At 38.0% G+C, this 14,184-nt stretch overlaps 1 protein-coding gene across 21 annotated transcripts in view; it reads right to left on the bottom strand.

Annotated features, from left to right (window-relative positions):
- The window catches only part of SNTG1 (syntrophin gamma 1), an 886,897-nt gene that overhangs the window by 338,461 nt on the left and 534,252 nt on the right, over positions 1–14,184 (bottom strand). For all 21 annotated transcript variants that reach the window (NR_135796.2, NR_135795.2, NR_135797.2 and 18 more), the window contains 3 exons: positions 8,507–8,564; positions 7,633–7,676; positions 7,503–7,544 (listed from right to left, as the gene is read on the bottom strand). Coding sequence is in view for 16 of the 21 variants with exons in the window: in NM_001287813.3 (NP_001274742.1) it covers positions 7,503–7,544; positions 7,633–7,676; positions 8,507–8,564 (144 nt within the window). In the remaining 5 variants the exon portion in view is untranslated. The remainder of the gene's footprint in view (positions 1–7,502; positions 7,545–7,632; positions 7,677–8,506; positions 8,565–14,184) is intronic.

The raw sequence follows: 14,184 nt of genomic DNA, 5'->3' as shown, positions 1-14,184 counted from the left end.
TTGCTTTGTCTGTTTCCTCAGTTTTTTTTTTCCTGTTTTAGCTTCTGCCTTTGATGTGGTTGATTTTCTTCAAATCTTAATGATCCTTTGGTATTACAAAATATTTGAGAGTGAGACACTGAAAAGCAAATTGACAGCGTTGGGTACAGGATTCATGGTTTATCCACTGGGCTCCACTGTGTGGTTTAGGGTGAACCCTGTTTGCAACAGGAGAGTCCAAATGTACTATTTGTGGATTATTTCTGTTAGATCAATTTCACTAAAAAAGAATCCTCTCACCTCTTCTCTGAGTGGTGAAACCGGCTGCCAGTGTTCTGAGAGCTGAAAGAAGGACAAACGCAGACCACTTACTGCCCAGAATGTACCTTTCGCTGTACTTATGGCAGTGCCTGGGGCTGAATACTCAGAGCCTCTTGAACTCTAATTCGATTGCCTGTTCTTGGCTACACCTCTTCAACCCTTCCTTTCAACACTCCCATTCGCGATTGCTGTCTGAGGCCTGCAGTGGGGATGTTTGCTGGATGGCGGCTTTGGCTACAGCCCCTTGGCCCTTCAGGATTCCCCCCGTCTTGTCTATCTGCTCTCTATTCTTAAATAAAGTTACCAACAACCCTTGCCCCCTGTCTTCTCTTCTCCTCCTCTTTTATCTGTATGATTTTTACCTTTAAAGAGTTATTCATTGTCATATAAAAAGTGTTTCAAAAGGGGAGAGAAGTAAAAACATTTTGCCTAATCTCACATCTCTGTATTCATTTGCTTAAAATTGTACATTTGCTCCTTGGGAAGGCCTTAAAATTGTCTTTTGATAGAGAATTCGGAAAGAGTCAGGAATACAAAGAGTTCCCCTCTTATTAAGATCTTGCATCAGCATGGTGCATTTGTGACCATCGCTGAGCCAGTGTGGATGCGTTGTCATCCACTGAGGCCCATAGTTAGCCCCATTAGAGGTTCCTCTTTGTGTGCTGCAGCTCTGTGGGCTTTAACAAATGTTTGTGTTCTTTGACAATGAAAGAACTGAAGATTTTACCTGAAAAAGACCTAAGCAATAATCTACTGCGACCTCTTAATCCTTCAGATGAGAAAAACGAGGGCAAGACAGAATGAGGCCCTTTATCAACATCAAACAGTGGAAAGTGTGACAAAACTTTTACCTTGAGTTAAAATCTCCGTTGTCATACGGTTTCTTCTCCTTGGCTTTCAGTTTGATCAGCTGGTTATTGTGAAAATAAAATGTCAGCTATGTGAAAATTTTGGAATTTGTATAACACGCATTCCTCATTCCAACCCCCCAGACAGGAGAGTGTCTGAGAAGATCCTTGCAGAATGTGTGAAGGGATTGCAGGCTCACCCATGCCTGCCCTGCCAGCTTTCTCCTCCCAATTTGACCTGGTTTAGGTGTGCCTTCTGAGATGTATCCTGTTTTTAGACTCCTCTCCAAGGAAATCGGCTGGGGCCCTCCTAAGTAATTGGTTTTTCAGGCCTGGTTTTGTCTCATTATTAGAAGGTGCTAAGGTTTGAATGTTTGTGTCCCTCTAAATTTTATATTGAAACTTGACCCCCATTGTGGTGGTAGCAAGTGGTGGTGTCTTTTGGGAAGTTATTAAATCAGGAGTGTTTCACTCTCATGAACAGAATTAATGCTCTCATAAAAGATCTTCAGAGAGCTACTTGGCCCTTCAAATTTTTTCTGCCATGTGAGCACCCACCCAGCTTTCATCCCTTCCAGAGGAGGCTGCAAAAAGACACTATCTTTAAAGCAGAGAGCAGCCCTCAGTGCACTCCAAGCCTGTTGGTGCCTTAATCTTGGACTTCCCAGTCTCCATGACTGTGAGGGAAAAAAAAAAGCCTCTATTAGTTATAAGGTACCCAGTTACAAGTATTTTGTTACAGCTGAGGGGATGGACTAGATGGAGCTTTGCAAAATTGGGTCTTTCAGTTCTCTAAGTTGTTCAACTTCACTCAAAAAATAAGAGGACAAATAAAGATTTGATAAGAATCAGCAGTCAGGAGTACAAGCATGCAGTCATTAAAATGTCACCTGTGCTGTCTGGATGTATAGCTTATACAGGGGACGGACATGTGGGTCTAGCAAAAAAGGCATCCCTAAAAGTATTAATGCAAAGCTAAGTATGAAAATAAGGCAAGGATATTTTATTTCTTTTCAAAAGCAGACATAGTGTAGACAGCATTTCTGGCCTTTTGTCTTTGCGCTAAACATTTCCCAGAGCACTGAGAAATATTCAAAGTTAAATTACATTGTATATAGCTTTCCTTGGTGGAAGTTAATTCAAAGAAAAACTATCCAGTATGGTTAGAATTCTTAAGGCAGTATTAATCACTTAGAGCTCAAAACCTATTTCCAGATTGTAAACAATGTAATCGTTAGCAGTTAGGTAAAACATGATTTGTGCCTCATGATATTTTAATCTAAAATGATCTTTGTGCTCAACTCACATGCTAAATATGTTCCTTGGTGACATATAAAACCTCCTAGACTGTTCCAATATATAAATTTATGCCTTTTTCCAGATAATTTGTTATAACTCTTGTATTGTTTCTGTCTGATTAATCTAAAGTAAAAAAGAATATGTTCCTACTCCAGTGGAAATTTTAAATTGACTTAGGCATATATCATAACAAGCAAAATGCTATTAGCCAGGATTTTTGCATTAGGTTTTATCAGCATTTGTTTTCACTGTATGAAGGTGTCATTTTAAATTACATACTTTTAGTTACTCAGTCTGTTCTTTTAGAATTATGTAGAATTATGAATGTTTTTAGAGTTTAGTTCAAAATCATGACTTCAGAATTAGGTGTTAATTTTTGCAATTCAAATTACCTAATAAATTCTATTCATGAGAATCATAGAAACAAAAAGCAGATGAACATATTTTTTTTGAAACCCATAAATCTCAAGTCTGAAAGCAGAAATGCTACTTTAAAAGGAAACCTCTGGAATCAGCTATGCATCCATCTTGCTTTGCCTAATGATGATCTCTTTCAAAAGTCTCATTAGATGGAAATTTCAGTTATACGAATAGATTATCCTATTAGAACCAGGATGCTTTTTACTCAACAAATACTTTTCTGCTATAGTTAAATCTTATTTACTATTATTTCTAGTGAAGAGAGGAAGATCACCATTGTTATATGTTAAAGACCATTGTAAATAAACATTGTTTTCATATTGCCCCTTTCTAATAGTTTTCTTAAAATTTTTGTATACTCAATTATTAAAATCTAAAGAAATGATGTCTACATACCAATAAGGTTACAGCGATATACAGTTATTTATATATTCTTTCTTATCACACAAAGTACTCAGCCTCAGAAAGTACTCAGTCTCAGTGCTTTTCACATAGATGGCACTCAGATAATTCTTTTTTTTTTTTTTTTTTTTTTAGCTCTGTCTGACAGGCTGGAGTGCAGTGGCACGATCTCAGTTCACTGCAACCTTTGCCTCCTGGGTTCAAACAATTCTGCTGCGTCAACCTCCTGAGTAGCTGGGATTACAGGCGTGCGCCACCACGCCTGACTAATTTTTGTATTTTTAGTAGAGATAGGGTTTCACCATGTTGGCCAGGCTGGTCTGGAACCCTTGGCCTCAAGTGATCTGCCCTCCTGGGCCTCCCAAAGTGCTGGGATTACAGGCGTGAGCCACCACGCCCTGCCACCCAGCCACTCAGACAATTTTGTTGTTGTTGTTTTGTTTTGTTTTGTTTGTTTGTTTATTTTCAGACTGAGTCTTGCTCTGTCACCCAGGCTGGAGTGCAGTGGTGTGATCTCAGCTCACTGCAATCTCCGCCTCCCGGGTTCAAGCAATTCTCCTGCCTCAGCCTCTTGATTAGCTGGGGTTACAGGTGCATGCCACCACACCCAGCTAATGTTTTTGTATTTTTAGTAGAGATGGGATTTCACCATGTTGGTCAGGCTGGTCTTGAACTCCTGACCTCGTGATCTGCCCACCTCGGCCTCCCAAAGTGCTGGGATTACAGGCATGAGCCACCGCACCTGGCCCAGATAATTCTTGATATGTGATCAGTTTACTTGTTAAGCAAAAGAAAAATACAGATGACAAGATATAGAGATGGCCATCAGCTTAATATGTCTAGGGTTCAGTGGTAAGGAGAATAGCATCAGTGTTAATTAACATCAGTAGTGGCAATAGATCATTTTCCTTGATGGGCTTTGGTCTCTTGGAGGTACAACTCATAAGCTCCAAAACGTGTTCACATGGAAAATAAAAACACACACTGCTAGAATGAACAAGGAATCCCCATTTTTCACACAGTCTTGCCACTCTTGCTGTGCCACTCTTGACCATGTCAACTCCTCACTGGAATTGTTGGAGGAAGCATGGGATGCTGAGCAGCAGCATTGGCTCTGTCTGTGTGTGACCCCCCAGGGCCCATCATGGCTCCTAAGCAGACCCTGTCCCACCTTGACACAGCAGTGCCCACGGAGGGGGAATAGGGAGAAGAGCAGCAGCATGTGAGCGGTGGCATTTGGTGCCATCAAAATAATGTATTACCAATTAATTGCCAGGTATATGCTTGGAGTTTCACATATGGTACTCTCATTCATTCCCATAACATTTATTAATGGTTCATTTTTATGAATACATAATAGAGTGATAGAAAAGTTTAGTTCATTCCGTTCACCTTAAATTACAATGTTTGTAAGTGGTTGAGCTATGATTTGCAGAGTTGTTTCTGAGCATTGAAGCCCTATGTGTGCACCATGCTGCATGCCAAGCGGTGCTGGGCACTGGTTCTAGTTTCCTTTCATGAGGAAACTGTGAGCTTCTCTTCCTTAACAATCTTCCAGCAAGAATACAGTGGGTGATGTGGTGAAGCCAGGACTTCACTTACACTCCCGTACTGGTCCCATGAGAAATATATACAGTAGATGTAAATGCTTCCATGATCTAATTCTAGGCATTTGGTTACAGAATCCCATCCACAAATCTACTGAGCACCTACTGCTCACAGCACCAGGTACTGTCCACTACCTGAACAATGTAAAATCCCCCTTCTATATAAATCAAACCTGATAACTCCAACACAAAAGTAACATTTACACTTTTGAAGACTGTTTGACAGTAAAGCTGATCATAGACTGAATGCAGAATTTCTAACATCAAGGAATAGAGTAGGTATATAAAATAAAAGTTACATGCACAAACAACATGCTTCCATACCTGCCCAATTTGTTTCTGAATTTGGTGTTTTACAAGGAATGTGGCATATCAGCATGCTATTTGGAATAAGAAATGTGGTACATCAGCATGCTAGCTCAAAACCACCTACATTCTCTCAGCTTGTTATACCTTTTTCTGCCCTTGTAGGTTGATTATTAAACATTTAATTAATATCTCTGTTCTACTGAGGTGTAAGTCTACTGGCTTAGCTAATAAGCAGTGAGGACAAAGCATCTAATAGCTGTTGGAAAGTGAAATATTAGAAATAAATAAAAATATTAGTACTCATATTTCAAAGCTGGTAGAGTTAAGCTTCTCAGAAAAAAATAAAAGCTTATTGTGAAGGACCACATATAATTTGCAATACAATCCCAAATTTCTTTCCTTTATAACAGAATGAGAACCATTCAGAAGTGGAATTATTGGTGCGTTCTAATCTTTCATGCTGCACTAATCTGTTTAATCAAAGCTCCATCTCAGTTTGTCTAAGCATGCTGCCTGCCTCTGAAGGGCAAATTGCATTCCGTCTAACAGCATGTGGTTTTAAAAGAGAATGCACTTGGTTTTACTCCCTGGGTAATGAGTTTAAAATCACTTTGTACTTTTGAAAAAAGAGTCAAGTTACAAGCAGCTTTGCTTATGTGACTATATTTAAAATTTACATAGGAATCTGCAAGATAGAAGGCTCTGTGCTGTGCTGGTTTCTCACTTGTTTACAAACTTGTTCTAAAATATTAGTTTTTTTGCACATATTTGTAGGAAACTTGGGAATTGAAATATGTATATTTTACATGAACTTGAGCACAGAGTGGCAAGAGCATGACTCCAATAAGATTTTAAGAAGACAAAGACAAGTGACAAATACTAAAAAACCTTGATTAGTTATGCCAAGTGTTCCTAATTAAAAACCCTCCTTCGTCTCGGTTCTTGTGCAGCCGTGGCTTTTCACAGACACTTGAGGTTGCCTCTCTTAGATGTGAAATGTATCAACATAGTTTTCTCTAAATAGCTTTTAACAGAGGAGCAATCTATTCAAAAACCAAATAAACTAGAGCTGTGACAAGCAAAAGGACTACAGTATTTCTTATTTTCTTTCACCTTTGAGTATAAACTTTTAAATACGATTTATCCTCTACTCTTTCCCATAGGAGCTGATACAGAAATCAGTGAGGTTTTTGAATGATATTTATTCAACCACGACAGACATGTCCTAGAATGCCTACCACAGTCCTGTTCCTTTCTGTATTTTTTTAATGTCATTTCACCACCCCCAACAGAAGTTCCTTAACCTTTCAGCTTCTCTAAAAGTTTAATTTAGAGGCCACTTATGATGGAAACACTTAGGCCGGTTGCTAAAATCCACATCCCTGGGCCCTCCCAAACTGGCTGAATTAGAATATCTAATTCCAGGGCTTGGGAATCTGTACATTCACAAATCTAAGAAAATACTGCCGAAAAACTGGATGACTACTCTGTCTATTGCTAAACCTGTCTGCCTTGAGGTTAAGGTTCTCTCTCTCTGTCTCTCTCTTTCTCCCCACCACCCCACACACAGAAACACACAAACTCACACACACAGACTACACACACACGCAGTCTTTATATGCCCTTCCATTTGTTCCTAGGTAATCTGTCTGTGGGGGACTGGTTCCAGGAAGGACCCCAGAGGATACCAACACCCGTGGATGCTCAAGTCCCTTATATAACAAGTTGTAGTATTTGCATATAAACTATGCACATCCTCCTGTATGCCTAAAATAATCTTTAGATACTTGCAATATCTAATATAATGCAAATACTATGTAATAGTCATTATTTTTTGTATTATTTTTATTATTGATTGTTATTTCTTATTGTTCTTCCCCACATATTTTCTACAGATGGTTGGTTGAATCTGCCGATGTGAAATCCCATGAATAGGGAGGGATGACTGTACTGTGTGAGATTCTACAGGCATAAATGTATGGTTTATAAGCTTTTAAACATTTACAGAGATTTAGAGATGTATTTCGCCCAGTGGTGTATTTAATGGACATTGACTGGTAGGGGTAGATAGAAAAACTGGAAAAACATAGAAAATGACCATCTTTAAGTAAGAATTCTTCAGAACACATTTCATCCTTGATAGGACTCGTTAATCTATTTCTAATTTAAAAAAAAATTAAGAGAACATTTGAAAATTTGATATCAAACTGGATAAATGTCATATCTGCCTAATGAATGAAGTGACAGTCTTTAGCAATGCACTAAATTCTTATTTGCACATGGGGAAAACTATGACATTAGGAAAAAGTAAACTCACCACTTCTTCATGTCTACATTTTCTCACATTAATGCCATTTATCTGCAATGAAAAGAAAAGCATAGTTTCCCATGGCATATTGTAAATTGAGTTAATGTTTTGACCACACATATAGTGATAAAATGTATACCTGTAGAATTGCATCTCCAATAAAAAGTAGTCCTGAAAGTTCCGCTGTGAATGAAAAAGCACAATTGATAATGCATTGACTGTTTTTGTTATGCAGATGAAAGGACTTTTAATTAAATAAAGGTAAAATTTACAAATATAAAAATTAAGTGTCTTATATGGTTAGCATCTTAAAAGATCCACAAAAAATGGAAATTCGAAACAATATGACTCAGTCTAATTACTGAAGCACATGCAGACATATTTCCATTTACTTTTACTATTGCAGACCTAACAGTTGCTAAAAATGAGCCACTCTTCTAAGGGTAAAAGACCACATTTTCTCACGCACTTAAGATTATTAGGTCTCTGTGAAAATGTTTAAGACATAGACATTCAATCCGTCAGCTATGGAATTGGCTCCAAGTTCATTTTTAAACATTACATTGTTTTACTAATTTCAGTTCTTGCAACATCTGCTTTATATCTCCATTATTTTTCCTACAGTTTCTTATGAATGGTTAGCTGAGTAAAATTGCAAATGAGAACTGAAAAACAGACACTTGAAATTGTCTTTACTTGATGGGACTTGTTATCATTAGTTTTGTATCTTTGTTGGTTTAATGAAACAACTGAAAAGCTGTGTAGTCCCTAACTCATACCTGCTTTCAAGGGTTCCTATCTTTCAGCCTTGTTCCCCTTCTGTGAGAGAAGTCCTCTCCCACAGGAGGATAAAGGGCAAGGACCCAGGAAGCAGACTCAGCCACTAATGCCTGAAGGTGGGGAAGCTGGAGCCAGTCAATCACATTGTAATTTAGGATTCTTGAATATCATCTCACACTTCAAAAACAATGCCTTAAAGAAATGGCTGGTACACAATTCTCTAAACATATTACCTCTTTGTTCCTTGGAGATTTTTGAAACGACAACTGGAATGTTATGTTCTGCTCCTCCCTGAAAAGAGAAAATCATATATTGTACTTTTTAATCTAAAAAAAATGCTGCTTTTAGCTAAGAAACCATACAGGCTCTGAAGGGAATGTTAAGTGGATATTAGGCAGAATTTAAATAAACTTGTGGAATTTCTCCTCTAAGTAGATAGTGCTCCCATGAAAATTATCTACCTGTTTAGAATTTTGCTGAGACATCCAATAATAACAATTGGCTTTGAAAGTTTTCATTTATCAACAAATATTGATTATGTATTTAGATAGGCATTCTCCTCAATGTGTAGCAATGCTATCCAATAGAAATTCTTATTTAGGATTCCAAACACCAGATAATTATATATTACTGTTATCCTGCTAAGTTATTCTGTGCTGGCAGCTAAGGGCTTTTGGTGGTGCAGTGACCCGTTGGGATACCAAGGAAGTAGAGAGACCTTTACCAGAACAAATGGATAAACAAAATCAGAATGCACATATGCATGAAAAATGAGGGATTCATCTGCATTTCCTTCCTTAGTATTGAATTCCTCCTTGTGTGAAAGCACATACTAAACAATTTGCAGAGTAAAACATACTGCCAAGAATATTGAAGTAGTACTATTTTTATTATTTATTTATTTATGTATTTATTTATTTTATTTTTTGAGACGGAGGAGACTCGCTCTGTTGCCCAGGCTGGAGTGCCATGGCGCGATCTTGGCTCACTGCAACCTCCACCTGCCGGGTTCACGCCATCCTCCTGCCTCAGCCTCCCGAGTAGCTGGGACTACAGGTGCGCCATGCCCAGCTAATTTTTGTATTTTTAGTAGAGACGGGGTTTCACCATGTTAGCCAGGATAGTTTCCATCTCCTGACCTCGTGATCCAACTGCCTCGGCATCCCAAAGTGCTGGGATTACAGGGGTGAGTCACCGCACCCGGCCTGCAGTAGTACTATTTATTAGTTGACTAAATGAGATATGAAAAAAGAAAGACAAGTAAGCTAAACTTATGTGAAAGAAAATAAAATAAATCCTTAAAAACGGAAAAAGAATCCCATTTCTGTATTACAGAGTTGAGAAGGTTAAAAGCAGTAGTAGAGAAATGAAATCAGTACATAAAAGAATAAAATGTCATATATAAAAAGAAGCATAGAACTTGTAACACAGCCTAGTTGAAAAGACAATCTGAATTCCATTGAGGTTGTTCTATCTTCAGAATATGTAAACCACCTAAGCTTTTGTTTCAAGTATAAAAAATTATTTTGGAAGAGATATTCTTTTTTCCCTTGCATGCCCATTTTTAACACTGAATTGCCAGTATACTTAAATATAAAATAGTCAATAGTTTTTTAGAAAAGCAGGAATATTGAATTTTTTTTTTTGGCAAGTAGAGTCCTTTCTAATTCCAGAATATTAAGAAGAAATATGATAATTAAGGTAATGAAAACTGTCCTACTCACTGAATTTCAAACCCACTGCTCAGTTCCCTTTTCCTCACTATTTCACAGCAACCTAATATTCATGCACCGCACCCCTCAGCTCTGTGGGGGAAGTTACTGGCGTAGGTTACAATGGCTCCCACTTGTTCTGCTTTTTGGTCTGTGTGTCCCTAACAAACACAGACTGTGTCTAAGATGACCCTGCCTCTGACCTGAACAGAGATAGTGATTTGTGGCTGACAGTGTGGTGGAAATCAAGTGCTTATTTAGCACACAGTAAACACTGAATAAAGGAAGGCTATTATGCTAACACAGCCCATGTATTAAGATTTATGAGGAAACTCACATAGCATTAAAGTGGTAAATAAGATTAGGACTAATCCCTTCTAAGACCCTTAATATTTATGAGTTAGAACTCCAAATTCCCAATCCCCTTTTATCTGTTCTATTTTGTCCCATTACAGTTATCAGTGTCTAACATGTTATTTTTTCATTTCTCACACTTATTGTTTTCTTTCTTCTTCCCATTCCTAACTAAAATGCACATTTCTTCAGGGTGCAGACATTTTTTGGTAGTTTGTTTTGTGCATCGATGTAAACCCAGTGCCTGGAATAATGTCTGGTCTATCTTTGACATGTTTGTTGAGTTGAATGAATGAATGAATGAATGAAGTCTACGGCTTTTCCAGGCCCAGCGTAAGGTCACTGATAGCCTCTAGAGACACTTGGAAATTAGAAAGGATGTTAAGGATGCATCTATGTTTCTTAGAAGGAAAAAGCTGGTTAACTCAAATGAATCATTAACTGATGAACTTTTAGGTAGAATTAAACCATGAAACAATCATCCAGATATTGTGATTCAGATATTTTGGGACAGGGAACAACAATGATTTTGCTGGTCTCCTCAGTGAGGCTGTTATCAGAGTATTTTCCTTCAGCTGTTTTTGCATTTCACCCTTTTCTCTTATTCTGCTACTGAACCCATTTTTTTTAAATGCATAGACTATTAATGCAAATTACCATGGCAAGACATTGGGAAACCTATTCTTGGTGTCCAGAGAAAAGGCTTTTGAGATAGAGTTTTTCTGAGGGTTGACTCAATAATCCCATTCTTTCCTCAACACCCAGACTTGTACAGCAATCCCCTGCTTATTTGTGTTTCACTTTCTGTGGTTTCAGTTATCCAGGGTACAGTACAATACAACATTTTGTGAGAGAAAGGAAGCACATTCACATAACTTTTATTACAGTGTATTATTATAATTCCATTTTATTATTAGTTATTGTTAATATTTTACTATGCTAATTTATAAATTAAACTTTATCATGAATTTGCATATGTAAGCAAATATGTTATATGCAGTGTAAGATTCAATACTGTCTGCAGTTTCGGGCAACTACTGGGGTCTTGGAATGCATCTCCCAAGGTTAAGTGGAGACTATTGTAACCATCTTTGAAATGCAAAATGTAACACTTATTTTACCACAGTTTTTCTCTTATATGTAAAATTTATCCTGAAATTTGAATGGTTTGAATCCAAACATGGTTTTTGGTTTTCTGTTTTTATTTTATTTTTTTGAGAGGGAGTCTCGCTCTGTTCACAGGCTGGAGTGCAATGGCATGATCTTGACTCATTGCAACCTCCACTTCCCAGTTCAGGTGATTCTCCTGTCTCAGCCTCCTAAGTAGCTGGGATTACAGCCACTCACCATCATGCCCAGCTAATTTTGGTATTTTTGTAGAGATGGGATTTCAACACGTTGGCCAGGCTGGTCTTGAACCCCTCCCTGACCTCAGGTGATCCGCCCACCTTGACCTCCCAAAATGCTGGGATTACAGGCACGAGCCACTGCACCTGGCCTGTTTTTTTTTTTTGCTTTTAAATTAGACATTTGGAGCTCTGATGTACTTTTTAAACTAATTTCTGAAAATGACTTCAGTAATTACTGAATTTTAAGACAAAACTCAGAAGATAAAATTGGAACTCAAAATCACGCTGCCTTCATTACTGGAGAAAATGTGAGCAGCTCAGCTGCTACAGTTAATTAGATTTAGTGCAGGGCCTAAATGGGGAAATGTAAGGTTTTCCAGTCAATAATCAAATCATGTGGCTTGTTTAAAACAGGTGATAGGCTTCCATGACAGTTGAATAATAATGAGAACCTTTAAACTGCCTCTCTTCCAGTGTAGCTCCTGGACCTCCATCGCCCTGAACCTGAAGGATGTCAGCATGCACTGTTGTCTGGCCAGTTATGCTCCTCCTTCCCTCCTAACCTGGAAACTGTTCATTTTTGAAATTTTGGCTTAAAGCCCCCTCCTTTAGTGTCTCCTTACTTGAAATAATACACTTATGTAGCACTGGATCATGCCTGTGATTTACATTTATTCTGGTAACAATTTGATCAAAGTCTACTTTCCTACTGAAGTATAAATGGCCTGAGGTCCAGGCAAGGCTTTCATCACCATCTTCTCCCCAAGGCACTCCTGGGCGGGACTGTGGCTCATGACTGTGGTTTAGAGAATGCTTGAATTAACTGAGCATTGTTATTGTAGTTTATGGAGAAATACAAGATTAGGAAAAGGAAGGCAGTGTTCTAAAGCACAGCCCAGGTAATGTTCGCACATACATCGTTCAGCTTTGTGATAATCTTTTTACAAAGCATAGTGGATTTTATAGCTAGCTCTGTAGGAAGAAGGATGTATAATTCCATCTAAAGCATTTTGAGAATGACTCTACACAACGGTTTTACTAGCATTACTGTGAAATACCACCAAATAAAACCTGGAATGCTTTTAGAGCATCAGGAGTCTTGCCAAGTAATCTTTTCAGTTCAATATTATTATTACTCCAATCAATTAATCAATCAATCATATTATGGGCATGGGGGTGCAGGGAAGATGCATAGAGCTAACCACTATTTTTCCTTTTAGAGAAAGGAAACTACTTGTAAACAGAATAACAGTAATTAGAGTTAAGAGCTGCAATGGACAACTACAGAAGAGGCAAGTAAAGGAATATCACCTGGAGGAATACGGGCATGTGCCATCATCCTTCTGGATGCTATCGTTACCTGCCAACATACTTCGTTTGATTTTGGCAAAAAATAATTGTCTTTCTCACATGCTATATGATTACCTTCATATGAAAGTCTAAAATAGGGAAATGGTCATTGCTCAGGTTTGAAAGAGGGGAGATAGGGGATAAAAGGGTGATGAATAAATATGAGATTTCTTCTGGAAGTGATAGAATGTTCTAAAATTGACTGCCGTGATACTTGCAAAGATCTGCGGATATACTAAAAACAATTTAATTGTACACTTTAAATGGGTAAATTGTATGGTATTGGAATTATACCTCAATAAAGCTATGTAATGAAAAAAAATGTAATGGTCTTTGAAATGATAATTGACCAGTGGTTTCAACTCATTTTTGGGACTAATCCATAACCCTCAATTTAAGCTTTACTGTATGCTTGTTATCTCTTTCTTTTTTTTTTTTTTTTCTGAGATGGAGTCTTGCTCTGTCGCCCAGGCTGGAGTGCAGTGGCACAATCTTGGCTCACTGCAACCTCTGCCTCCCAGGTTCAAGCGATTTTCCTGCCTCAGCCTCCAGAATAGCTGGGACTACAGGTGTGTGCCACCACGCCTGGATAATTTTTGTATTTTTAGTAGAGTTGGAGTTTCACCATGTTGGCCAGGATGGTCTTAATCTCTTGACCTTGTGATCCACCCGCCTTGGCTTCCCAAAATGTTGGGATTACAAGTGTGAGCCCTGTGCCTGTCCCTGTTATCTACTTTTATGATGGAAATGGACATATTCATTTTGTCTAGAGTGAAAACAAGTGAATCAGACTTGAGTAAAAATGGCAGGGGAAGCAGAATGCAGAAAAATGTATGCAAGCACGTCCATGCACTTATAGCAATGGTTGTTATTTAAATATTTTTGCCCAGATACCACTAATAAGTTAAAAGGCATACATTTATTACAACTAATATATATATTTTATTTGGAAAATTTGAAACGACTAGTACTCAACCCTTTATCTTACAAAATTGCTTACTTGAGCTACACATTTATTTCAGTTTTGTTTTATTTTATTTTATTGTAATTTTTTTTGAAACAGAGACTCACTGTGTCACCCAGGCTGGAATGCAGAGGCGTGATCTCAGCTCACTGCGACCTCTGCCTCCCCGGTTCAAGTGATTC

Source organism: Homo sapiens, chromosome 8, assembly GCF_000001405.40.
Source record: "Homo sapiens chromosome 8, GRCh38.p14 Primary Assembly".
Classification (NCBI taxonomy): Eukaryota; Metazoa; Chordata; class Mammalia; order Primates; family Hominidae; genus Homo; species Homo sapiens.
Note: the sequence above shows the minus strand (reverse complement) of the source record. Positions and strands in the feature narration are given on the sequence as shown.